Source organism: Homo sapiens, chromosome 10 (assembly GCF_000001405.40).
Source record: "Homo sapiens chromosome 10, GRCh38.p14 Primary Assembly".
NCBI classification, from domain to species: Eukaryota; Metazoa; Chordata; class Mammalia; order Primates; family Hominidae; genus Homo; species Homo sapiens.
The window spans coordinates 105068095-105093263 of NC_000010.11; the positions used below are offsets into that span (position 1 = coordinate 105068095).

General features: G+C 41.1%; 1 protein-coding gene across 2 annotated transcripts in view, besides 1 other annotated feature; it reads left to right on the top strand.

The window, feature by feature from the left end:
* SORCS3 (sortilin related VPS10 domain containing receptor 3) overlaps nucleotides 1-25169 on the top strand; it is a 623953-nt gene that overhangs the window by 426805 nt on the left and 171979 nt on the right. The window contains exons 1-2 of one of the 2 annotated variants that reach the window (XM_011539542.2): nucleotides 18475-18480; nucleotides 21681-21745. In XM_011539542.2, the coding sequence (XP_011537844.1) occupies nucleotides 21721-21745 (25 nt within the window). In that variant the 5' untranslated portion in view covers nucleotides 18475-18480; nucleotides 21681-21720. Of the gene's footprint in view, nucleotides 1-18474; nucleotides 18481-21680; nucleotides 21746-25169 lie in introns of those variants that run through there. The other variant, NM_014978.3, reaches the window with a different exon arrangement.
* Nucleotides 135-1334: an enhancer, noted in NCBI's record as "P300/CBP strongly-dependent group 1 enhancer chr10:106827987-106829186 (GRCh37/hg19 assembly coordinates)". NCBI's record gives its function as "activates an origin of replication core promoter dependent on BRD2, BRD4, P300/CBP, MED14 and CDK7 cofactors, with strong dependence on P300/CBP, by STARR-seq in HCT116 cells {active_cell/tissue: HCT116}" and the evidence as "EXISTENCE:reporter gene assay evidence [ECO:0000049][PMID:35650434]".

The following is a 25169-nucleotide window of genomic DNA, read 5'->3' on the forward strand; positions in this document are numbered from 1 at the left end:
CTAATACTGCCAGATAGCTCTACTATATACCTCAAAACCCAACTGTCCATAACAGAACATATTGCCATTCCCCAAATGTAGAAGAACTGCATCTCCTCCTTTCCCCAACTTGGTTAAATGAGTTCTCCTGATTTCTCAGATTATTTTAGTTAACAATATCGCTATCCATCAAATTGTCTGACCTAGAAATCTCAAATAACTCCAGACTGCCTTTATTCACTGCATCAGTCCCTCTGAACAGCAGGGTCCAGCCGCTCACACCCTCTTGGCCCCCTTGTTGAATTTATTACACCTTCAAACCCCTTCCCTAGATGCATCTGCTTTTTCCCTGTTGGCACTTCCTTCAGCCAGGTCCTCCTCTTCTTTTGCCTGGACCAGCTTCCTCTCTGTTTCTCTGCCTTCAGTTTTACTGCCAAAACTTGAGTCAGTCCTTTATGGCTTCTTCTTGTTTCCTAAAACACCGGCTAAATGAGGTTATCATTTGGTTAAAAACTTCTGCTGCTGAAGTCGAGAGAATTATTTAAAAAAAATTAAAGCGTAATGACACATTAGTGAGTCATGATTCCTTGTGAAGTGTGTCACAAAAATTTTGTGGCCAGTAATAAAGAACTGATGTTGATGAGTTATCACCCTCATTTTCTTTTTGAAAATTTGAGGCAATTCAAGGTTATCAGTAAAATGATGTCATTCTTACATACTTGCATTCCTAAATGAATAGAAATCAATGGAATGACAACTAATGTGTCAGCTTCTTTAATATTTCTTACTGACCATAGTAAGATGCCTTTATAGATCATAAAGAGATATATTGAATGTAAATCATTGTTTTTGCTATGCAGGATTTCATTAAAGATTATTTGAGATTTGCTCAAAATCAGAATATGCTCACCTGATTTTCTTACATGTGAACAGCATCTACCATAGATCGTTTTGGAAATCAAGATAGACAAAAACTAGTCTCAATATTATACAAATCCTTTAGCATGACACAGAATGCCTTCTCATAACAAATTTCTGGAACATCTTTCCAAACTCATAGTCATGTACTATCCTAATCTCTCCACCCATACCCCACACCAATCACTGTTATGCTTACATGCCATAAGATTGTATGCCTTCAAGTCTTTTGGCAAGCCTTCCTTTTGCCAGGCCAATGAAGGCAGGGAATGCAATTCTAGGCAAATCCAGGAAATCCACTTATCTTGTAAAGTTCTGCTCAAAACTTTTGAAACTCCCTGAACCCTCTCTAACACCTTTTCACTGTGGCCAAGAGCATGTTTCTGGGACAAACCTCTTGGCTTCTCTATTGAAAGCTCTAATATTTGGGTCAGATTTTCTAAGCTTCAGTTTCCTCATCAGCCTAATGTCGATAATAATGCCATCTACCTCATAGAGTTGCTGTAAAGATTTCATAAGATTATTAACCATGCCTAGGGAGTTCTTCTGCAGCTCTTCCTGAGTTTAGATCTGTTAATATCCGCAACTCCTTCAGACAGTGCTTGGCTCTGCCACGCTCAGCTGGAGTCAACTTCACTTTGCATCTTTCTGAAGCATCTAATACTGTGGAGTAAATTAATTTTCAGTGACTTTGATGTTGTCCCAAGGTAATTCTCTGTGATACTTTCCAGCAGGGAGCCTTTGAAATGTCGTCCCTCTTATAATTAATACATTGTACTGTGCTGCACCTATCAACAGATGGATTTATCATTACACATTCAGACTTGACAGAGGTCAGCCATCATCTCTCTCCATGTGTCCTTGCATACTCCTGGCAAGTTGGTCTCTTTCCCTTTTTTCTTTCCAAGTCTCCCCCGCCCCGATCCCAACCTATCCCCCAGTCTAGCCAGATCCATAGCTTTCTGGCTGAAAGTAATTATGATATCAGGCTGAAGTTTTGAGGCTTGGAAGGGCTCTACTGTGTTCAGATTTCACTTCTGACTGGAGTCAGTGAGCTACCACATTATCAAACATGTACATATACTCCTTCTAAATAATGGAGGACATAGGAACTGGGCTTCTCCCAATGTCTCTTCTCTCCGCTCCTGAGATTGATTCCCGAGTTCTGCTCCATTTAAATTCCCTCAAATGTAATTAGGAAAAAAGGTATGGACATTTATCAATATCATCAGCATCTTTACCTTTCATGTCTTACTAGACCTATATCATAGTTGAGGAAACTAAGGTTGAGAGTGGTTATCAGTCCAAGTTAATTAGTAGGTGGTACAGCCAGGATCCAATGCAGGCTTACTCTAAAGCTGAGATTTTAATTCTGATTTTATACCACCTCGGTGTCTCCAGTGAGTGTCTCCTTCAAGGCTATTTTCAGATTCACCACCAGGGAGGTTTCTGGATCAAGTAGATCTGAATCAGATATATGTGACAACTTCAGAGAAAGGGAGAAATCCTAGGTTCTTTCTTTGAGAACAGCTTCCCAGCCTGTGATCAAGGAACCTCACATCATCTCTTTCAATGGAACCAATGTCCCAGCCCTTTTAAGAACTCTACATGGAAGAGAGGGAGTTCATATTTTCTCTACAAATCACAGGACCCTCCCTTGATAGTTAAATAGGATGATCTCAGCAAAGCTGACAAGATGTTTCCATGTTTGTTAAACAAGAACCATTTGTTTAGCTCAGGAGCATCTGTTGAATAAACAAGATATCTGATGTGCCATTTGCTCATTGAAAATTAACAAACCCTTTAAAAATGGCAATTTGTCAGGAGTTATATGAAGCAGAATTCATTCTCAGCAAGTGAACAAATTGAAACTTCCTTCCCAGGCTTTCTAGAATCCCCCAGAGCCAGTTGTACAGAAAAAGTTTAGTTTAATTTGCCATCATTAAGGAAAATATGCAGACAGTGATGGGAGAAGAGAAGCAAGTATCCTGCTAGGGAAATTGAAGAGTCCTGGGAGAGGTATTGTCCAGTCCAGTTGGGATGAGCTATTCCCCTTCTGGGCTGTGTTTCCATTTGGAGAGTGTAGGACTCCTGGAAGGGATCAGCTTTTTCTTCTTTCATCCTGTTTCCAGGAATCATGTGGTATAATAAAACTGTCATCAGTCAGCATCATTCCTCTCTGTGCCTCCCCATGGGGAGGGAATCAAATGGAGGGTTAATTTACTCCAAGAGTAAAGGCAACAAAGAAAAGCATAAAATGAATGAAAGGCTGTCACTACTCTCATGTGATGGAACAGCTATTAGAATCCTGGCTAAAATGAAGTCTGTGTATAGTTCTGTTTTCCTCATGAAGCACACGAGCTTCCTGGTATTGGTCCATCTTGACCTGCTCCTTGGAGGAGTACAGTGTGCTGGCACCAGGTGGACTAAGCATATTGGGCAGTGAATCTAGCATTTAGTAAGTCCAGATACCGTGCTAAGCACATTGCTGACATCAATTAAATGCTCACAAAGCTCTCGTTTGTTAAATTTTTTTATTTTTATTTTTTGTGGGCTTATAGTAAGTGTATATATTTATGGGGCACGTGAGATGTTTTGATACAGGCATGCGATGTGAAATAAGCACATTATAGAGAAAAGGGTATCGATCCCGTCAAGCATTTATCCTTTGAGTTATGTACAATCCAGTTATACTCCTTAAGTTATTTTAAACTTTACAATTAGTTATTATTGACCATAGTCACCCTGTTGTGCTATCAAATAGTAGGTCTTATTTATTCTTTCTAACTATTTTTTTGTACCCACAAAGCTCTCTTTTATCCCCATCTATAGATGAGGAAACGAAGGCTTAAGTTTGTGTAATTTTTCCAAAGTCACACAGGTAGAAAGACATAGAAATGAGATTTAAACTAATGCAGCTTGAAAGCTCATTGGTTTTATTTTCATGTTGCATCACTTCAGATAGCCCTTGAAGATGCAAGGTTCCTGGGTCTCTTGGTGTAAAGACTGAGAAGAGCAGCCTCTGAATTCATGAGCGCTACTTTGGGCAGAAGTATCAGCATTTTAAGCAGGATATTACTGAGATTCCTGGGAAGTGCTGGCTGGCTGGAGGTTGATATGCTATTCTTGCTGGGTTGCAATTCAAATTCTTTATTTAGAGAGAGTTTGGCATGGGAGGTGGTGAGCTCTCGGACTTTATATAAGCGGGTCCCTGTGGGCTCTAATTAGAAGCTAAGGAGTTAGCTGACTCTGGGCTCTGAGCAACTTGCTGCCTCATCTTCTCACGTTAGCCCTTTTAGCAATTGATCTTGTAAACTTTCTGAATCAGAGAAATTAAAGATGAAAAAGCGCCTATTAAGTGATCTTGCCCCAGCCCCAGACTAGGCAGAATGACTCCAAAGAGAGGATTCCTGAGTGTCTAGTTCATTTTAATTTTAATTGTCCCAGAGGGTGTGACTTCTTGATCTTCCCCTGAGCAGCCCTTCCCAGGCTGATGGATACAAGCATGAGCAGTATCTCACAGGAGGCTAACCGCTCTGTGCCAGGGCTATGCGTGTGCTATGCATGCTCATTTTGCCCTGTTTTCCAGGGCCTAGATTTTTTCACATATTGCCACTGGAATGTGCTGGGGCTTAGGAGGAAACCTTTTCTTTCTTTCTCTCTCTCTCTTTTTTTTTTTTTTTTTTTTTTTTTTTGGTGGTGAGGAGGTAGATTAAATAGCCTTGTGTGTAAATAGGATCTGGCAATTTTGCCTGTTTCCCCCCGTAGCCAGATGATGTGTCTACAGCAGGATTTATGCAGGCAAAATGGGGTTGAGGATACATGACAATAATTGGGATCAAGGACTGATGATCCCTTGGGAAGACCACAAACACTGATGGCAGGCACGTAGTGAGTACTCCTAAGCCTATGCTAAGGGTGTCACAGTATTATCTGGTTTAACTTTCACCATAACCCTGCGAGGTAAATATTGCTGTTATTCCCTCTTCAGAGACAAGGATTCTGAGGCCCAGAGAGGTTGGAAGCATGTCAAGGTCATATAGCTATTGGGTAGTGGGGCCAGGATTTAAACCCAGTTCTCTCTGTGTGAACTACATACTTTACCCTACTATACGGTGTTACTACCTCATAATAAAATGTACTGAACAAGGTCACACTGAGGAAGAGACAGGAAAGGACCAGTGATGATTAATTGGAGCTGGCTGTTGTTCAGATCAGCCAGGTTTAGCTTTCTACACCAGGAAGACTGGGCTTGTGACATGAGCTCTATGTGCAGGTTCCAGGTGCGGAGATCTTGCAGGGGGATTTGGATACCTATGTTCACTTAGATTGTGACCCCTTCCAGGCCTAGGCGAAGGGGATATTTCACCCTTGTTTCTCCTGCTTAGAGAATGACGCTGGACACAGGGTGTTCAGTCTGGTACACACGTAGAGGATCTAACTGATTAATGCTGGTGTGCTCTGCAGCCCCACCCAAGATGCCCTTGCTTGTTGCTGAAGATCTTTTTATTTATTCCACTTCTTTCCTTGGGCTGTTTTTGGCTGTGGGCTTGGGCCTTTCCATGAGGCTACTGGTAGTTGATTTTAGAGCACAGAATGTTAGGCAGCAAGGGCAGTCCTAAGTGGGGAACTATCTTCAGTTCTGGGGCAGGGAGTGGAGGCATGAGCGTGGGAGGCATGGGGGTGAGAAGCATGGAGCCACTGGATGTAGAGGTCAGAGGGAAGAGTTCTGCCAGGGGAGCTGGTACCTCGGACTGGGTGGGGGTGTGGCATCAGAAAAGAATTACTCGTGTCACAGTTTGTTCCCAGGTGGTCGCTAAAGGATTTGTTTGAAGGAACAGGGAACCACAGACGTTTATTTTCTTTCCCTCAGTGTTTTGTGATTTCAGGATGCAGTTTGATCTGTGTGTGTGTAACTGTCCGAGAAGCCATGAAGTAAAGGGAAGTCTCCTGAGGTTAGGTTGTGGAATCATTTCAATCCTCCCACTTTTCCTCTGCTGCCTGAGGAATCTTGGGAAAATCACTTAAACTGTCCTTCAGTAAAGACCTCATTTTCCACATTTTCAACTTGTGGGAAATACATACTTTATAGGTTACTTCTTCACATTAAATGATATAAAGAAATAAGGTGCCTGCCACAGAGTAGGTCATTCATACATGCCAGGCATTTTCTTTGCTCTCTTTTTGTCTTGTCCAGACAAGCCTGCACGGTGCATCACCAGATGTGCTGTGGAGCCAAGTCCGTGTGAGCTGTGTTTGAATTGGGAGCTGTCATTTATCAGCTGCGGTGACTTAGACAAGTCCCTAGCTCATCTGAGTCTCTAGTCTCTCATTGATAAAATGCAGACAAACATAGTACATTCCTTGTCGGAATTTTGATCATTTGTTCAACAATATAATTGAGTGCCAGTTTCGTGCTAGGAGGTGAAGTTATCATGGTGGGCACAGCAGCCAAGATTCCTCCCTTCAAGAAACGTGTAGTCTAGAGGGGAGGCAGGCAGTATTCAAATCATGAATTCAGTGAGATAACACACACAGAGCATTATGTTGTCGCAGGAACATGTCTCTCATAAGATAGTGCACAAATCTCTAGCTATCGTTACATTACCCTTGGGGCTACTATGGTTATTGTCTTCTTCCTGGGGGTCCCCATATGGTTACAACCTCTTCCCTGTTGTCTTCCCACTTATACTATGAACCCGTAAAGCAGATGCCCATTTTCTACCATTGATTCCAACCTCAGTCTGGGTCTGGGATAGCTGTAAGTAAGGCTTTCCCAGGAAGTGGGCTGTCAGTGTAGACTCTGGTCAGGTCTGTCTACACCAATATCATGTACCAAAATGCATGCCCCTAGCAGTCCCGAGGCAAAGACTAGGAAATTCTGATTTTATTCTCTTCAGAGCTGAGATACAATTAAAAATGTTACCACAGTAATTGGCAACATCCATTAACTTGATGAAAATTGCCCAAGGCAGCACATTTTTCCCCCTTCTGCACATTATTAGCCTATAAATACACCTGGTTCCTTTTTCTTTCTTCTCCAGAACTTCCACAAAACATCCTCCCATCCTCCCAAGCTGTCTCCTTAATGCCCTTTGCCTTTTTATAATTAACTCCCCGAATTCCTCCAGCACTTCCAGTCAGTACCACATAATCTTGCATCTAATTACATGTGGCATGGTGGCTCATCTGAGAGGTAGCATGGAAAGCCCACATTACTGAAAGGAGAGCACTGACTCAGTCAGCAGAGCCCAGGGTGAGTCTCAGCTCTGCCTTCACCTGGCTTAGGATCTTAAGTGACTCAGCTTTCTGAGTTTGCTCATCTGTGGAATGGGAGCAATGATGTCTACCTCCTAAGATGAAGGCTATTAACATTAGATAATGTGAACATGCTCTGTGAAATACCAAGTGCTGGGAGCTCCTATGCATTGATCCCAGCAGCTCCTTCATCTGCCCATGCCCTCCCTGTTCCATCCTCTGGTCCCTGCTTAGGGGTAGGTGCAGGTGGGTTCTGGCAGCACAGGGATGTTCACAGAAGCCCTCTCCTAATGGGTGTGGTCCTTGCTGATGGGGAGTGACACCTTGGGGACCTCACCAGCAGGAAATTCCTTTTCCTTTTAATATACTTGCTTCATTAGTTTCCCTATAAAGAAGGGGGGCGAGAAGGGGTGGAGCAGAACAGGAGGCTTTCTAACAATCAACAGTGTAACAGCTGTCAGTGCAGAGGGGAAAATCATAATGCCCCCTTCCTCCTGAGCTGTGGAGTCACTGAACACCAGAGACCACAGAGGGAAGGGATCCCTAGTCTCCTTAAAGCTCCCAGCCCCAGCAACCTCTTCAATTTGCAGAGGAAGAGACTGTACCCAAAGAGATCAGTAACTTAGTCAAAACTACACAGCTGGTCAGTATGAACGTGGTCAGAATCAAGGTCTTTATACCAGTCCAGTGCTCTTTCCATTACGTTCCAACACAAGTTTTTATTAGTCACTTTCTACATAATCAGGAAGTGTGGAAATGAGTGTGTGTGCACATGTGTGCCTGTGTGTCTCTGTATGTTCCATAAAGTGCTTGGAACCTGGTGTACATGTTCATTAATGTGTTCTTGCATCATTTCATTTCATCATTTCCAAGACCAAATCAGGAAGATTTTTGATTGTTATATCAATTTGAAGGTTCAGAGAGGTTAACTATAACTTGCCCAAGGTAACACAATTAATAAATGTAGAGTTGAGATTAGAATCTAGGACCTATGATACCAAAGCTCCTCTCTGAACCACTGGACTATAGAAGAGACGAACTTTTGTCTAAAAATGCACGTGAGTTAGAAATGATGCCCAGTGTGTAAGTGAAATCTCCACAAGTACCCTGTTATCCTGAGCTTGAGACTGAGAATTGCAGGGCGGTGAGATTTTTGTTCATTCCTAATTGTTTTCCTTTAAGTCGTCTCTATGGCCTTTATAAACCTGTTTCTCTCTCAACTTGCATACTCTCCACTTTACCAACCCCACCATCCACCCTGGCCTCCTGACCTTCACATCATCACTGGACTCCATGCTGGGTGCACAGGCAGCCCTCGGGAAGTACTTGCTTTAGGAGACACAGGGCCAACTGGTGGGCCAGCAGGACGATTTGTGCCTCATGTAGATGTTCCTCTCTTTTATACCCACTTTTGAAGCCCCAACCCTTTGTGGAACTGTTCGTTGGAGCTATGCTAGGCTGTAACTCACACATATGCTGTAAACAAATGGGCCATGTGGTAGGCTGTGTAACAGTTCCCAGAGTGCTTACACACAGTAGGTATTCAGTAGGTATTTGCCAAGCGACTGTTTGTCCTATTCCTAGTAGAGCAGTTGTCCAGCTGTCTTTAGGTAAATTTTCGTGGATTTTCACTACTTTAACACAATCATAAAATCCCAGGGACCAAATCTCCATTTAAAATGGCTACTGCCAGCATATGACATGGTGGTGGCTACAGTTCACTGAGATTCTTTAATCAAATTGAATTTCTCTACCCGTGGGGATTGGCCTCTTGACATGCATATGCTTTGCCCTGAAAATATTTCATGTGGCTGCTGCATTTGGTTCCAGCCATATAGAATGTATAAAGATATCAGATTAAATTAGACCATATAGTTTTCCACCCTTCCTTCTTTCCTAGTAGGAATTGTGTCATATTTGTGACCCAATATAAACTTATGTGTTTTTATCATGTAAGCAAAAGTTACATGAAAAGTACTTAGTCTACCACATGAGATGCACTCTAATATTTTCTATTCCAGTCTCTTCTATTTTATGAAACATTATTTGTGTTGTGATTCACTAAGTGTATTTCATGACCCACTAATAAGTCCCAACCCTATGGTTTGAAGAACACTAATCTAGGCAGTGAACTTTTTAATTTGCTGGGGAAACCAGAAGGATGAAGGGGCAATAACTATCCAGGTGTCATTAAGATCGTGCATATTCTGAGCAACTTCCTAGGGGGTGTATCGGTAATGACTCTCTGGTTGCACGAAACTGACTAAATTAAACACACACACACACACACACACACACACACACACACACACACACAGAGGGATGGTATTAGGATCCAAGTAATAAATACATATAGTTAGACTTTAGGCAGAACCCTATCCTAGGACCTCACAGAGTGATCTCTTTTTGTCTCTTGTCTCTGCTTCGCTCTTCTATCTGGAAGACCAGCTTAAGATATCCAAGACTAATTGCTTCAAGTCTCATGTTATGGTCTCGTAAACCAATCCTAATGTCTGGGAAAAGAATTCTTTGATGCAGCTTGGTGTGTGGGTGTAGCCTGATCTACTCAGCTGTTGACAAGAGGCAGGACCTCATGGTACAGACATGGGTGTCAGTGTCTGCACCTAAAAATCTGTGAATCTGGGGCTAGGGAGCAGTTGACAGAGGCAGGGGGAATATCTATAATTTGGGAGGAAATCTTCCAAAGTGCCCACGAGAGAAGCCGTGTTCATTTGAGCTGGATGAGATCCCTGAGTTCTTGCTGCCCTAGCGTTTTCACAGGACGATCACATTTGTCAAGCAAATCACAGATGACTGTGTTTGACAGCTCCAATATTGCTTTGAGGATAAATGGTGAAAATAGCAGCATAATAATATAAAATGAAGACTTTATTCAGTTAATTGCCTAGAGATTAATTAAATGAATGAAATCTGTTTCACCATATTATGGGACTCTTTTCAACATTTATCCTAAACATACTGCTGGGGTTATTGTTCCCATTCATGTATTTATTCAGCTACTTAACAGATATTTAAGAAATGCACAGGGAGGCACGGTGCTAGGCACTAGAAGAAAATGCAATTTAGTCAGATCTAGAGCCTGTCTTTAAGAAGAATGAAATCAAGAAGGAGACAAAAATCAGGTGTACAAATAACTAAAGGTGGCGTGAGATAGACTATGCTTGAATCCAGGCTCCATCTCTCTTTCTCACTCTGTGTCAATAGTTACACAACTGGAAATTTCAAAATCTCCATTTCCTCATCTGAAAAAAAAGAAAAAAAGATTATATTACTATCTCAAAGTTTGTTTAAAGATTGAGGTCATATATCTAAATTAATAGTAAAATTCTTGGTACGTTAAAGGTGTTCTATAAATATTAGTTGCACTTACGATATTTTGAGCACTATCATACTAAGTGTTACATACTGCAAAGTGTTAACATGTGCCTCTCTTTCTTCCAAATGTTTTACATACATTTAATCAATTAGTTCTCATAAAAACAATGACAAGGGTGCCATTATTACCTCCCCATTGTGCCGATGAAAAAATTTGAGGCATAGAAAAGTTAAGCAAATTGCCTAGAATCCCCCAGTGACTGAGTGATGGAGCCAAGACTCTAACCCAGGGTCTGGCTCTGGAATTTATGCTCTGAGCTGCATTAGTGATCTGTGAAAAGGAGCACCTGTTACAGTCTGAGATTGTATCTTGGGCTCTAATAAATGATTCTCAGCTCTGACTTCACATTCCTATCACCCAAGAGCATCTAAAAGCTATTGATTCCTGGACTTGACTCCTGGTTAATGATTCTCAAAGTGTGAATCTTGACCATCATCATCATGTCATCTATGTATTTCTTAAAATTCTTGGGCCCCACCCAGACCTCCAGAATCAGAAACTCTGAGGGTGGAGCCCAGCATCGGTGTTCCAACAAGCCCACCAGAAGATTCTGATGCTAGCTGCTACAATCAGAATCAGAATGAGAGGACTATTGCTCCAGACCAATTACTCCAGGATTTCTGGAAGTAGGGCCTATGCATTTGTATTTAATATTTTTGGAAAGTTCCTCAAGTGATACTAATATTCAGCCCGGGTCATGAGCTTTCACAGAAGCTAAATATTGAGCTGGGCCATAAGCAGGGAATATGTAGAGTGGACTAGAATGAATATTTCAGGTGGAAAGGCAGCTTGAACAAAGACATAAAGGAGGAGAAAGTTTGTGATGTGAATTGGGGAAATATCTTGAGATACGGCAGGGTGATGATAGTCAATAGTAACATATTGTATATTTCTTTTTTAATTGGTCTCAATGTGCCTTTATTTTTTTAAACTTTTATGTTTGGTTCAGGGGTACATGTGCAGGGTTGTTTTATAGGTAAACTCATGTCATGGGGGTTTGATGTACAGATTATTTTGTCACTCAGATACTAAGCCGAGTACCCTATAGTTATATTTTCTGCTCCTCTCCTTCCTCCCACTCTCCACCCTCTGGTAGGCCCCAGTGTTTGTTGTTCCCCTCTTTGTGTCATTTAGCTCCCACTTAGAAGTGAGAACATGTGGCATTTGTTTTTCTGTTGTTGCATTAGTTTGCTAAGAAGAATTACCTCTAGCTCCATCCATGTTCTTGCAAAGGACCTGATCTTGTTCTTTTTTATGGCTGCATGGTGTACCATGGTGTATATGTACCATATTTTCTTTATCCAGTCTCCCATTGATGGGCATTTAGGTTGATTCCATATCTTTGCTATTGTGAATAGTGCTGCAATGAACATTCACGCGCATGTGTCTTTATGATAGAATGATTTATATTCCTTTGGGTATATACCCACAAATTGGATTACTGTTTCAAAAGGTAGTTCTGTTTCTAGCTCTTTGAGGAATCACCACACTACTTCCCACAGCAGCTGAACTAATTTACACTCATACCAACGTGCATAGGTATTCTATTTTCACCTCAACCTCACCAGCATCTATTATTTTTTGACTTTTTAATAATCATCATTCTGACTGGCATGAGATGGTATCTCACAGTGGTTCTGATTTGCATTTCTCTAATGATCAATGATGTTGAGCTGTTTTTCATATGCTTGCTGGCCACATATATATCTTCTTTTGAAAAGTATCTGTTCATGTCTTTTGCCCACTTTTTAATGTTTTTTTTTCTTGTAAATTTAAGTTCCTTGTAGATGCTGGACTTTTGTCAGATGCATAGTTTGCAAATATTTTCTCCCATTCTGTAGGTTGTCTGTTTATTCTATTGATAGATTTTTTGCTGTGCAGAAGCTCTTTAGTTTAATTAGATTCCATTTGTCATTTTCTGCTTTTGTTGCAATTGCTTTTGGCATCTTCATTGTGAAATCTTCCAGTTCCTATGTCCAGAATTATATTTCCTAGATTGTCTTCCAGGATTTTTTTTTATAGTTTTGGGTTTTACATTTAAGTCTTTAATCCATCTTGAGTTGATTTTTGTGTATGATATAAGGAAGGGGTCCAGTTTCAATCTTCTGCATTTGGCTAGCCAGTTATCCCAGCACCAAAACAGCATGATACTGGTACAAAAACAGACATAGACCAATGAAACAGAATAGAGAGCATGGAAATGAGGCCACACATCTACAACTACCTGATCTTCAATGAAGCTGACAAAAACAAGCATTGGGAAAAGGACTCCCTGTTCAACAAATGGTGTATTGTATATTTCAAAATTATAAAGTATATTTCAAATTTATTTACCACAAAAGATGACAAATAAATGAGGTAATGGATATGTTAATTAACTTGACTTAATCATTCTACAGCATATACATACAGTATATCAAAACTTCACATTGTACCCCGTAAATGTATACAACTATGATTTGTCGGTTAAAATAATATTAATAAAATTATCATTTTTAAATTTAAAATCTAGCTAATCAGTTTATAAAGCATTCATACTTTGACCTTATCAGTATTTTACCCTTAATATTTCCCTCATGCATACCCCAATATTCAGTGTTTTTAATTCCTGGGGAAGTTTTTGCCCTGGAAATAATACTCACAAAGAAGAAAAACACAAAGGATCTTGGTCCTGCCACCCCCTTCCAAGACCAAGAGCTAAGTGTGTTATGAAGAGGCTGGTACTAATGTTCCAAGTTGGATTCTAGGGCCACTGACACAAGCTCTAGCTGTGTCTTTGCAAAGGGTTGGTTTCTGGTCTATGGCATGAATGGGGTTGGACAGGATTGTGATGTTTCTGAGGTTGTAGCGTCCAGCTCTCTTGAGGACTGTCGTGGCTGGGTGAGCGGTTATGGTTCCCAAGAAGTTCCTGTCTGACCTATTTTATATGGTAGGATTTGGAGACTGTTTGCACAAAGGGTTAAGTTGCTAAAAATAAGTTTGAAGCCACTTGACCTTTTCTGGCACTTCTGTTAGTAGCACCTGTGAGTCTGTGGTTCTAGGAGCTGATTCCATTTCTTCCCTGGAGTTTTGGCTGTGGCTTCCTATTTCCTTTTGTTCCCTGCATCCTTTCTTGGTCTTTGGTCAGAACTCAGAAGGGCTCCCAATTATGGAGATTTTCAGATGATTCTTATGCTATTATTGAGCTCATTAATTGTTATCCAATTAATGACAATACCCTCAGGAAGGCGAACAATCTACAAGGTAAACATGACATGGGACACAGGCAGGAAAGTGAGACCTCTTTAGGCCATAAGACAGTTTGTCTTTGAGATGCAAACACCATGCTTATGAAGTTTATCTAACAGAATGAAAGTATTATAACCGTTCATTCAACAAATATTTACTGATGATCTACCATGTGCCAAGTGCTATAATAGGATCAATTGATACACTATCCAGTGAAAGCCTGTGAGGTCAAGCATTGTGTCTAATAAGGAGGAATAAAGGTAATTTCAACTCAGTACAAAGATTTCTCCACTGGGGAGGAGACCAGATTGTTACAGGAGCCTTGTGAAGAGTTGGTTCCAAGGATTTGTGATGTACACTCAATCTAGAGAGGGAGAAGGTGCCTAAACTGAACTTCTTAGTAGCAGGGGCTTCTTATATCTAGTGCCTTGAAAAACACTACCATTACTAGTTACTTAACAAATGTAGAAGTATCAGTCGGGGAGCTGGGGGAAGAAGACAGGCAGGAAAGTATATTAGTTTATCCGTCCTTCAAATAGAAAATAATATTGTCATAGCTAAAATGTAACGACTGCATTATATGTGTCAGACACTGTTCTCAAGGATTACTACTTAGCTCATTTTAATTCTTCTAACTCTATGAAGTAGGTATTATGAACTTCCATTTTATAGATGTGGAAACTAAAAATCATTATTTGCACACATGTGATGAAGAGTTTACACAGAGGGCCTGATCCTAGTTCCCTTCTTGAAGAAGACTGGAAAAATCTACTGGAAAACGTTAGTTTTTCCCCAGTCATTAATGTTAGTCTTCAGAAAATCCCTGTGGTAGAATTCATGATTGAGTAATTTTTTTAAATTATTTATTTATTTTTAGACAGAGTCTCACCCTGTCACCCAGGCTGGAGTGCAATGGTGCGATCTTGGCTCACTGCAACCCCTGCCTCCGAGGTTCAAGTGATTCTCCTGCCTCAGCCTCCTGAGTAGCTGGGATTACATGTACACACCACCACACCCGGCTAATTTTGTATTTTTAGTAGAGACAGGGTTTCATCATGTTGGTCAGGCTGGTCTCAAACTCCTGACCTCGTGATCTGCCCGCCTTGGCCTCCCAAAGTGCTCCCAAAGTGCTGGGATTACAGGCATGAGCCACCACGCCCGGCCTATGAACTTTTTAAATGTTCATAGGATTTTCATAAATTCATACCTGATCTTCACATATTTATTTTGTCCTATAAAATTTTGTTTTATAGTCATTTAATTAAAAGTAGGAATACAGCATACTCAAATAAAGGCATTATTGATTACTTGTTTACATTAGCAATAATAATATATACTGAAACAATTTATCTTTACTATCTGATGCTTTCTAGAAACTTTCTAGGAGTTTTTTTTTTCAGGCAGTTTTAATAGGATGCTTGAAAATTCATCTTTACTCTTTTGCAGACATTAAGCACAGGGAGCTTTATGTGTCCTGAGGCTAGTTCTGCACTGAATACTGCTCATGGCCTTCTGGTCTATCCTGGCCTAAATTTGGTCCTAGAAATGTGAAGGAACTTGGATGCTTGAGAGGGAAGAGGTGCCAGGGGCAATTATTAACCTGCTTGGCATATCTGAGCAGGCATGCCTCTCCTCCCCTCCCTAATACCTGTGGCAATGTCACGGACCCTCTTACACATGCCTCACCTCATTCTATCATCACAGACCTCAAAAAAGTGAAGCCCAAGCCCCAAGTTTTCTTTTCTTCAGCCATGTTTAATCCTTCTTAAGGTTTCTTTGCAAAAATCTTCAGTCACTACTCCTCTACTGTTGGCCCAACCTCCTTTTTCTATTCTCAACTTTTCCTTCTTACCAATTACCTTCAATATGAGTGACTTCCAGTTCATGTAGTCTAGAACCAAAATTTTCTGCAATATTGAAAATGTATACAGAATGCATTCGTATTTCCTAAATGCTGCTTTAAAGGGACTTACATGTTGGAGAAAGGGAGGCAATGAGGCATGATGTTTATGATTCTTACTCTAGGAGAGATGGATGGGCACAAATCCCATTCTTTTCGCCAGCTAGGAGAGGCAGCTTACAGGAGAAGTTAAGCTTATGGCTCAAAGCCACCTGCCTGGTTTGAGTCTGAGTTTTGTTGCTTCGTGGCTACATGTCTTTGGGCAAGTTGTTTAAGCTCTTATGACTAATTGTGCCTTTTTAAGTAGAGAAAAAATCATTCCTAACTCATAGAGTTGATGAGAGGATTAAACAAAATCAACATTTACATTTTAAATATAGCTAACACATAGTGTACTCTCAATATCAATGAATTGTTATTATGTGATATTCTCATTTTACTGAAGAGAAAAATTAGATAAATGATACCTTCCTTAAAAGTTCATTTTGAGGATTAATGAAGATAATGCTTATAAACACCAAACACAATGCCTGACACAGGAATGGTCTCAATACCCATTAGCATTTATTACCATTATTATATATACTTTCCCAAACATTTCCACAAGTTTAACCCTTATGATTTCCACTTTTCCTTAAAGAAGAAAACTCTGAATGTTTGCATCATGTATTTCTTTGCTTGGTGTATTTGTGTGTACTTCCCTTGCACTGAGTTTCTACAAGTGGAGACTTGGGACTTTAAGACGAGGGACCTGATTGCTTACACCCAATGAATGTCAGATAGTTTCCTGGTGAGTTGTTATGGTTCTAAATAACAATAAGTTCATGGGCTTCTCAGCAGTTTGTGTTAGGTGAGGAAGTGCAGTTCTTGAATGCCTATTTGTGCTGCCTTGTTACTAGGGGAGGCGCAGAGTGCAAGCAGCAATTAAGCGTGTCCAGCTAAGGCAGTGCTGCTTCTTCTTTTTTTTTTTTTTTGAGATGGAGTCTCGCTCTGTCGCCCAGGCTGAAGTGCAGTGGCGCCATCTCGGCTCACTACAAGCTCCACCTCCCGGGTTCACGCCATTCTCCTGCCTTAGCCTCCCGAGTAGCTGGGACTACAGGCGCCCACCACCATGCCTGGCTGTTTTTGTATTTTTTTAGTAGAGACGGGGTTTCACCATGTTAGCCAGGATGGTCTCGATCTCCTGACCTCGTGATCCGCCCGACTCGGCCTCCCAAAGTGCTGGGATTACAGGCGTGAGCCACCGCGCCCGGCCAAGGCAGTGCTTCTTAACTGGGTGTGATTCTGCCACCCATCCCCACCAGGCGATATTTAGCAGTCCCTAGAGACATTTTTGGTTGCCACAACTGTGTGAGAGTGTTACTGCATCTGGTAGAGGCCAGGGATGCTGCTGAATATTCTGGAATGAGTAGGACATCTTCCACAACAAAGAATTATCCAGCTCAAAATGTCAACAGTGCCAACATTGAAAAGCCCTAGGCTAACGCCATCAACATGGCAGAAGGTGGGCGGCGGCTTCCCTCTGTGGGCTGGAGGAGGGCCTCAGGCCACAGCTCAGATTGTGGTGAAGAATGTTCTTCCTACCCTCAGCAGCCAAGTTATTTTACTATACCTCTGGCCAGCTGAGCAGCTTCATTTCCTCCCCTGTGGACCTAGGGACAGAGCAGTTTTGAAGTACAAATCTCTTACCCCTATCATTTCATCCAAAGGGGAGCCTAATCCTGAGCAGTGCTGGAGCTCAGGAGAAATATTGAAGAAAGATAATTAGGGTCTCTGGCCTTAGGAAGTTTACTGTCTGGTGAGTTGCATATATTTATAAAAATCATTCTATTTCTAATTGATAGCTTAAGCAAATAAATATACACACACCTTCACAAACAAAGGCACCCTATGGGCTTGTATGTATCAAGAAACTGCAAACCTGAGATGGAACTAAGAAATGGATTCAGATTTAAGGACCTTTAGCTGTGTCTAGTGGTCTGTCTGTCTCTTAGAGCATTTCCCTGTTTGTGTGAACCTCTGACTCTCTGATTCTCTAGATGTATGTGTGTGTGGGAGGGGAGGGTGGTGAATGTGTGTGAAGCTGCACACATGTGCATGAACTGTCTCTGTCTCTCTCTGTTTCTTTCTCTATCTCTGTGTGTTTCTGTTTCTCTCTGTCTTTTGGCTATTGTCTTCATATTACCACCTCTCTCTCTATTTCTCTGTCACACTGTCAATTTTTTTTTTCTCTCTGTATATGTACATCGTTTTTATAGACCTGATATTCCTATCAGGCAAGGAATATTTCTCCTGGTGACAAGATTTGAGAGACAATTCTTTCCTAACAGCTTCAGTAAGAGAAATCTTGAGGATGTCTTCTAAGTTGTGATCACCTGATCACCATAGCCAAGATGTCTCATGACCCTACTGGATCACGTGACATTCCAGGGCTTCAGAGGCATGGGCTGCTGTGATTGACCAGCCTGGCCAAAAGCACATAGCTGGAGTCAGGTAGACAGCTCCATAAAGGATGACAGGAAAGGGTACTGAGCAGACCCAAACCACAGGTGTCCACTCTAGTGAGCCAAGAGCAACTCAAGAGAACAACTTAATAATGCAAGTGCTGGAGGATGTGTGATCTACATTCTGGGTTCTCTAGAAGTATAAAGGAGAGAGATCAGTGTGAGCTGGTGACGAGGGAAGGCTTCCAGGAGGACTTGATTCTTGCTTTCAACCTTGAAAGATGTGTGAGATTTTAACTAGGTGGAAGGAAGTAAGCCTTCCTGATGAGGGAAGAGTTTCTTTGCATGTTTTATTGGTTTGGTTGCCTTGTTTTAAGCTCCCAAGAGGCAGAGACTTTTCTTTCTTTTTAGTATAGCATAGTATTTATTGACCACAATCAGGCTTCGTCAGTATGGTGCCAATTCTCTGAATGCTACTCTGCCAGTGACCTTAGGGAGAGAATGGAAGAATAATAACTGAGAAACTTCTAATCCTGAGAGTACCAGCATGATATAAAGAAACAGGGAGTTGCTTGTAGATTCTTGATATTAGACCTTTGTCAGATGGATAGATTGCAGAATTTTTCTCCCGTTCTGTAGGTTGCCTGTTCACTCTGATGATAGTTTCTTTTGCTGCGTAGAAGCTCTTTAGGTTAATTAGATCCCATTTGTCAATTTGGGCTTTTGTTGCAATTGCTTTTGGTGTTTTAGTCATGAAGTCTTTGCCCATGCCTATGTCCTGGCCCATGCCTATGTCCTGAATGGTATTGCTTAGACTTTCTTCTAGGGTTTTTATGGTTTTAGGTTTTATGTTTAAGTCTTTAATCCATCTTGAGTTAATTTTTGTATAAGGTGTAAGGAAGGGGTTCAGTTTCTGTTTTCTGCATGTGGCTCGCCTGTTTTCCCAGCACAATTTATTAAATAGGGAATCCTTTCTCATTGCTTGTTTTTGTCAGGTTTGTTGAAGATCAGATGGATGTAGATGTGTGGTATTATTTCTGAGGCCTCTCTTCTGTTCCATTGTTCTATATATCTGTTTAGGTACCAGTAGCATGTTGTTTGGTTACTGTAGCCTTGTAGTATGGTTTGAAGTCAGGTATACCTATGTAACAAACCTGCGCATTCTGCACCTGTATCTCAGAACTTAAAGTAAAAATTCTAAAAATATTACAGTGGTCAGATATATTTGGGATACATTGGGTTAACAAAATGAGACATTTCTCTTCTGGGAAAAAAAAAAAAAGAAAGAAAGAAACCGGGTGGCTTCAGAACAAATAAAGTATCCATATAGTCCCTTGTGGTACCCTCAGTCCTCTGCGTGTCTGGCCTCAAGTGTTTTACATTGAAATTTTGGCATTAACACAGGTAGATCAGATTGTTTATTAATTCAGTAAACACTTCAGTATCACCTAATATGTACTACACACATAGGTCCCAATGGTTCAAAAATAAATAAGACAGGATCCCACTTTAAAGTTTATATCCAAATAGAGAAGACACAGAAATGAATTAGCAATTGCATACATGATTTGATTGTGCTGTGCAAAGCAGTGGTCCTCAAACATGGCTGCACATGGAAATCACCTGCGACCTTTAAAAAATACTGACACCTTGGTCCCATCTGTGAAAGTTTTTATTTCATTGGTCTGGCGAAGAGGACACAGGCATCTGTATATTTCAGAGTTACCTCCCAGGGCTGTCATTAGCAGTAAAGTCTGAGAACCACTGGGATAAGGATGCTTTGGGAGCAGGGAAAGGGCTCTGCAGTGATACTAGGGAAGGAAGGACTGCTGGAGGGGCAAGGCCCAGTGAGCTTGGAAAGAGGAATGAGAGTTCACTAGGGAAGGAGAGGGGCAGGGAGATGAGTGGATAAGGACGTTGGAGCTCTTCCTGCTGGAAGTCAGGAAGTCTTTCTAATTTTGGCCTAGTCCCTGTGTGGCCTTAGGCAGACATCCATTTTTTTCTGTGCCTCAATTTCTCCTTCAGTCAAACATGACTAATGATGCCTGCTTTCCTTACCTTAGGGGTCTGCTGTTAGGATAAAATGAGGTAAAGAAAAAGGAAACGATAGAATGTCAATGATCACTGGGAAAAATAACCCATTAGAGTAAAGCCTCATTTATTCAGCCTCTTTGGGGAAAGAAGTGTTTTACATAAATGAACTTTCAGATGACTAAATTTCGACCTTTCAAGAAGTAATAATTTTATTTTAACCAATAAAAATCATTTTAGTTTTTCTAAAACATACCACTTGCTGCCGAAGTAATAATTTTATTTTAACCAATAAAAATCATTTTAGTTTTTCTAAAACATACCACTTGCAGCCTTAATTTCTTAAACAGAGTACCCTGGATGCCATCAGCCCCTGTTTCTTTTCTTCTGTGCCTTCAGCCCCGCAACATAGATGTCAGCACTGAACTGTGCTGTGTTACAGTAATGCCCCCAGGGCTGTTGAGAAGTGTAGGGATTTGTGGCATGGAAGATTGGGTTTTGAGTTCTTAGGTCTGTTTTTCATAAGTTTTCCATTTCTCTTGCTATCCAAGTATCAGCTCTTGGGTCTCACCATTTTCAATTCTACTTTCCATTTCTAACTTGCTGCTGCTTCTCTGCTGAAGACTGGAAAACCAGAATACAAATCTTAGAATAGTGTATAAACTCTGAGTCATTAGACTATAAGTAAGAGCTTGCCAGAGAGAGTGGATTGTGTGATCTTTAGTAAATGAGTTTTTAATGTGTGTGTCAGCTCTTTTCAGTGGACTTTTTGGGCCTTACTCTGGCCTAGGTCTCTAATTTAGGAGACAGCTGACTGGGCTTTATGTGTGGAAGGTCAGAGGTCCACGAGGATTGTTTGTAGGGATTCTCAGGCCTCCATCTTCTAGGTGTTGGCCAGAGAGACCTTTAAGGTTTTCCATCTTTCTCACCAGGAGAATTTTGTCCGTGTCAGACCAGATTTTGAATGTCTATTGCCAAACTTCTGTTATTTTCAAGGCAGGAATAAAGAAGGAGACCTAGGATTAAACTCAGGAAGGAAGGAATATCTTGAAGCAAACAGCCCAAACTGAGGCAATACCGTGTTCCCCATCGGGTAGAACAGGCAGGTAAAGTGGGAGGGCAGAGGAGGAGGAAGTGGTGGAAGGAGTCAAGAAAGTTAAGACAGAGGAGATAGATGGAAGACACTGGGGAAGGGAGAACTTCTGGGAAGGTGCAAGATGGAGAAGGCCAGGAGCAAGGTGTAGACCAGCATGACTATGCACTCTGTATTCTTCTCTATTTTCTTTGAATCGTTGACTTATTGACCATTCAGTACTCATGTCTCATGACCCTTACAGATGACAGTTCCTTGGAGCAGCCACACTGTGGGGACTGCCAGTGGCCACATTCTGCTGGTTCCCATACTGCAGGATGGTCCTCTTTGAGAAAATGGATTTCTGAGTAGCAGTTGGCCCTGAGTGCATCCCACTTTGCTGTCTGCTATCGGTGTTGTCACTGAGCTTCTGTCTCTCCCTTCCTTTCCCAGGTCGGTGGCCGGATTGGATAAGGAGGCGGACCTGGTGCACATGGAGGTGCGGACCACGGATGGATGTGAGTTCTGCTACAGCCAGGCTAGGCCCAGGGAGATCTGCCTGCAGGTCTCTGTCCTCCCCCAATTTGCATTTTAATATCTTGGGAAGATGAAAAGCTCTGAGCTCCATTACAGCCACATCCATCCTTAATTCCCAGAGTAAGGGTGAGAAGTCCTTTCCTAAGGGAGACTTTTCATTGAAACAAACTCTTGGGAATGAATTGTCTGGGGATATGAGTTAATGCAATGAATTTTGAGGCTCCTGTTTGTAATTTCTTTGGCATCTTCAGAGTAATTTGAAGAGGAATGTCCATAACTCATCATGGTATTTTACATTCACATGGCGAATTGCAAGGGCTGCCTGCTTCAAAGTATGAACCCTTTATATAGGCAACCTTACCAAAAAATGTAATGGGGCATTATTTGCAAAACTGTTTATTCATCCATTCGAGATATTTAGGGATGGCCTGCTAAGTGTCAGACATAATTTTAAGCCCTAGAGAGAGAGAAAGTGATGAGCAAGTTCTATACTATCCCTACAAACAAGGGACTCTTCTAGCAGTGAAATTTCAGGATTTTAAACACATGACCCGCTGTGTACCTTGTTCAGCTGTGTACTTCTTACACAAAATTGGACTGAAAAAGCATCATTTTGTAACAATTTAAGCATTTTATTCTTCTCAGAGTTGTTTATACTTAAAGGGCTCTTCTCCATCCAGGAAAAATAAAATCAGCTTAAACAAAAATATATAAAAATATAATTAGCATAGATTGAGAACAGAGCCAAATAATCTACTAGTGGTGAGGCAGAGGTGCAGCAGAACAAGCACCTGTCTGTGAGTTGGGGTACTCGGCTCTGTTACCCTCTGGCCTTGATACCAGGAAAAACTCCTTAACCTCTCTGGGCTGTAACTCCCTCTGTGACCTGAGAATACTCATCCTTGCCCGGAGCACCTCCCAGGATTATAGGTTAATCAAATAGAAGATGAATATTAGAGAAACTGAAAAATGTTGTATAAATGGAAGGCGATTCTGTTTTGACCTGGCTGTTGGCATTGTGGTATCGTTCAGAGTTTAAGTAAAACTGCATGTGCTTTCTGCAGGAGAAATCTACTGTTGGAGGCCAACCGTAGATGCATGCCAGAAATGTGCATTTGGGGGAATATGTTTTATATGATTTATTTTTATTTTTAAAAGAGTTAGAAGGTAATCAGAATTTGTTACTATATTTCTGCCACTCTGTACTCCTCCCTCCCTCCTTCCTTCCCTCCCTCCTGTCCTCCCTCCCTTTTTCCCTCCCTCCCTCCTTCCCTCCTTCCTTTCCTTGCCCCTTCCCTTCCCTTCCCTTCCTTTCCTCCTTCCTTCATCCCTCCTTCCTTCCTTCCCTCCTTCCTTCCTTCCCTCCTTCCTTCCTTCCCTCCTTCCTTCCTTCCCTCCTTCCTTCCTTCCCTCCTTCCTTCCTTGCTTCCTTCCTTCCTTCCCTCCTTCCTTCCTTCCCTCCTTCCTTCCTTGCTTCCTTCCTTCGTTCCTTCCTTCCTTCCTCCCTCCCTCCCTCCTTCCCTCCTTCCTTCCTTCCCTCCTTCCTTCCTTCCTTCCTTCCTTCCCTCCTTCCTTCCTTCCTTCGTTCCTTCCTTCCTCCCTCCCTCCCTCCTTCCCTCCTTCCTTCCTTCCCTCCTTCCTTCCTTGCTTCCTTCCTTCGTTCCTTCCTTCCTTCCTCCCTCCCTCCCTCCTTCCCTCCTTCCTTCCCTTCCTCCTTCCTTACTTTTCATCTCATTGGATCCTTAAATAGATGTAAATCGGTGAGACAGCCAGGGATGACCTACACTCTTTTTAATGTATTTTTTAACTGAAGAGCTATTGGGAATTTAAGAAGATACTGTCACACACTTAAATTACTGATCATAAGGGTGGTGGAGCCTGGATTCAAAATTATATTATCCAATTCTTATGGCTGAGAAAGAAACTGGGAGAAGAATGAGATGTAGGGGTTTCAGGGAGCATAGAAGGACAGGAGGAGGACAGCAAATAGCCAGTCTCAGAAAATGACCCACAGGCCAGTTTTCAGGACAACTCTCGCATGGGTTTTGCCTCCTAAGTCAACCTGTTTAGGCCATATTTGTGATCTGTCATGGTCATGGTATTTCAGAGTTGGAGGATGGTCTGAGTTCTGACCTGGTGTAGGAATCCCTTCTCCCAAAACTCTAACAGTACATTCTCAGGCTTCGTGAGCTCAGGCTTAAGACACATTATTTTCTGATGCTGGACAGCTTCTTTAAAAAAATGTAGTTTCTTACATTAAGCTAAAATTTATTTTATGAAAGTTCAAGAATTCTGGTCCAAATTGGGATGAGGCCTATGGTGCAGGACTTCCGTGAAATTTTATGAGATTACAAATGCAAAACACTTAGAACAGTTTCTGGCCTATTGCCAGAATTCAATAATTGAATAAAGGCAGGCAGAAATATAACAGAGATAAATGTCTTGTGCTGTACTTAGGTTAAAGTATAGAATATATTAGTTCTGTTCCATCTTCTAGGTTTTTTATTTTATTTTATTTTTTCATTATAAATCCTCCACTGGAATTCTAGGGTTTTTAAAATCAATTTTTAATAGCTAAAATAATGCTTTTTCAATCTAGTAAATTGTCCCTAACTCAACTTTATTTAGAAAGTACACATCGCAAAACTGCCTTAGTCTGGGCATGTTTTATTTACATACCCTAACAAAATGCATAATGCCTTTCCTTTGTGGTATGCAATGAGTGCTCCCTCACACTTGTGCATTCACAAACACACACACACACACACACACACACACACATCTCTACCATCATTTGAGCATCATCAAAAATACAAAAATGTTTTATTTACTGTTTTTCCTGACATGGTAGTTTAACTCAAATTTGCCCAGATTCACATAGCTAATTGGCGATAGGAAAAAACAAACAAACAAACAAAAAAGCAAGTTAGAACAAAAACCTCCCAATGGACTAGTGAGAAGGAAACTTCTGATAAAGGACATCTACAAAAAACCTAAAATTAACATCATCTTGATGATGAGATACTGAATGCTTTCTCCCCGAAGAGCAGTAAAATGGCAGGAATATTTACTCTTAACACTTTTATTCAACATTATGCTGAAAGTCCTAGGCAGTGCAATAAAGCAAGAAAAATGAAATACAATTCATATAGACTGCAAAGAAGAAAATAAAACTTGTTATTCTCATTGACATGATTGCCTATGTAGAAAATCCTAAGGTATCCATAAGAAAATCTCCTAGAACTAATATGTGAGTTGAGCAAGGTTGCAGGATATAACACATTCGGTGTAGAAAGGATATTATTTTCAATCAATGGTATTGGATCAATTGGGCAGTAATCTGGGGGAAAATTAACTTCAACCTATGATTCACAACTTATACAATGATTCACAACTTATACAAAA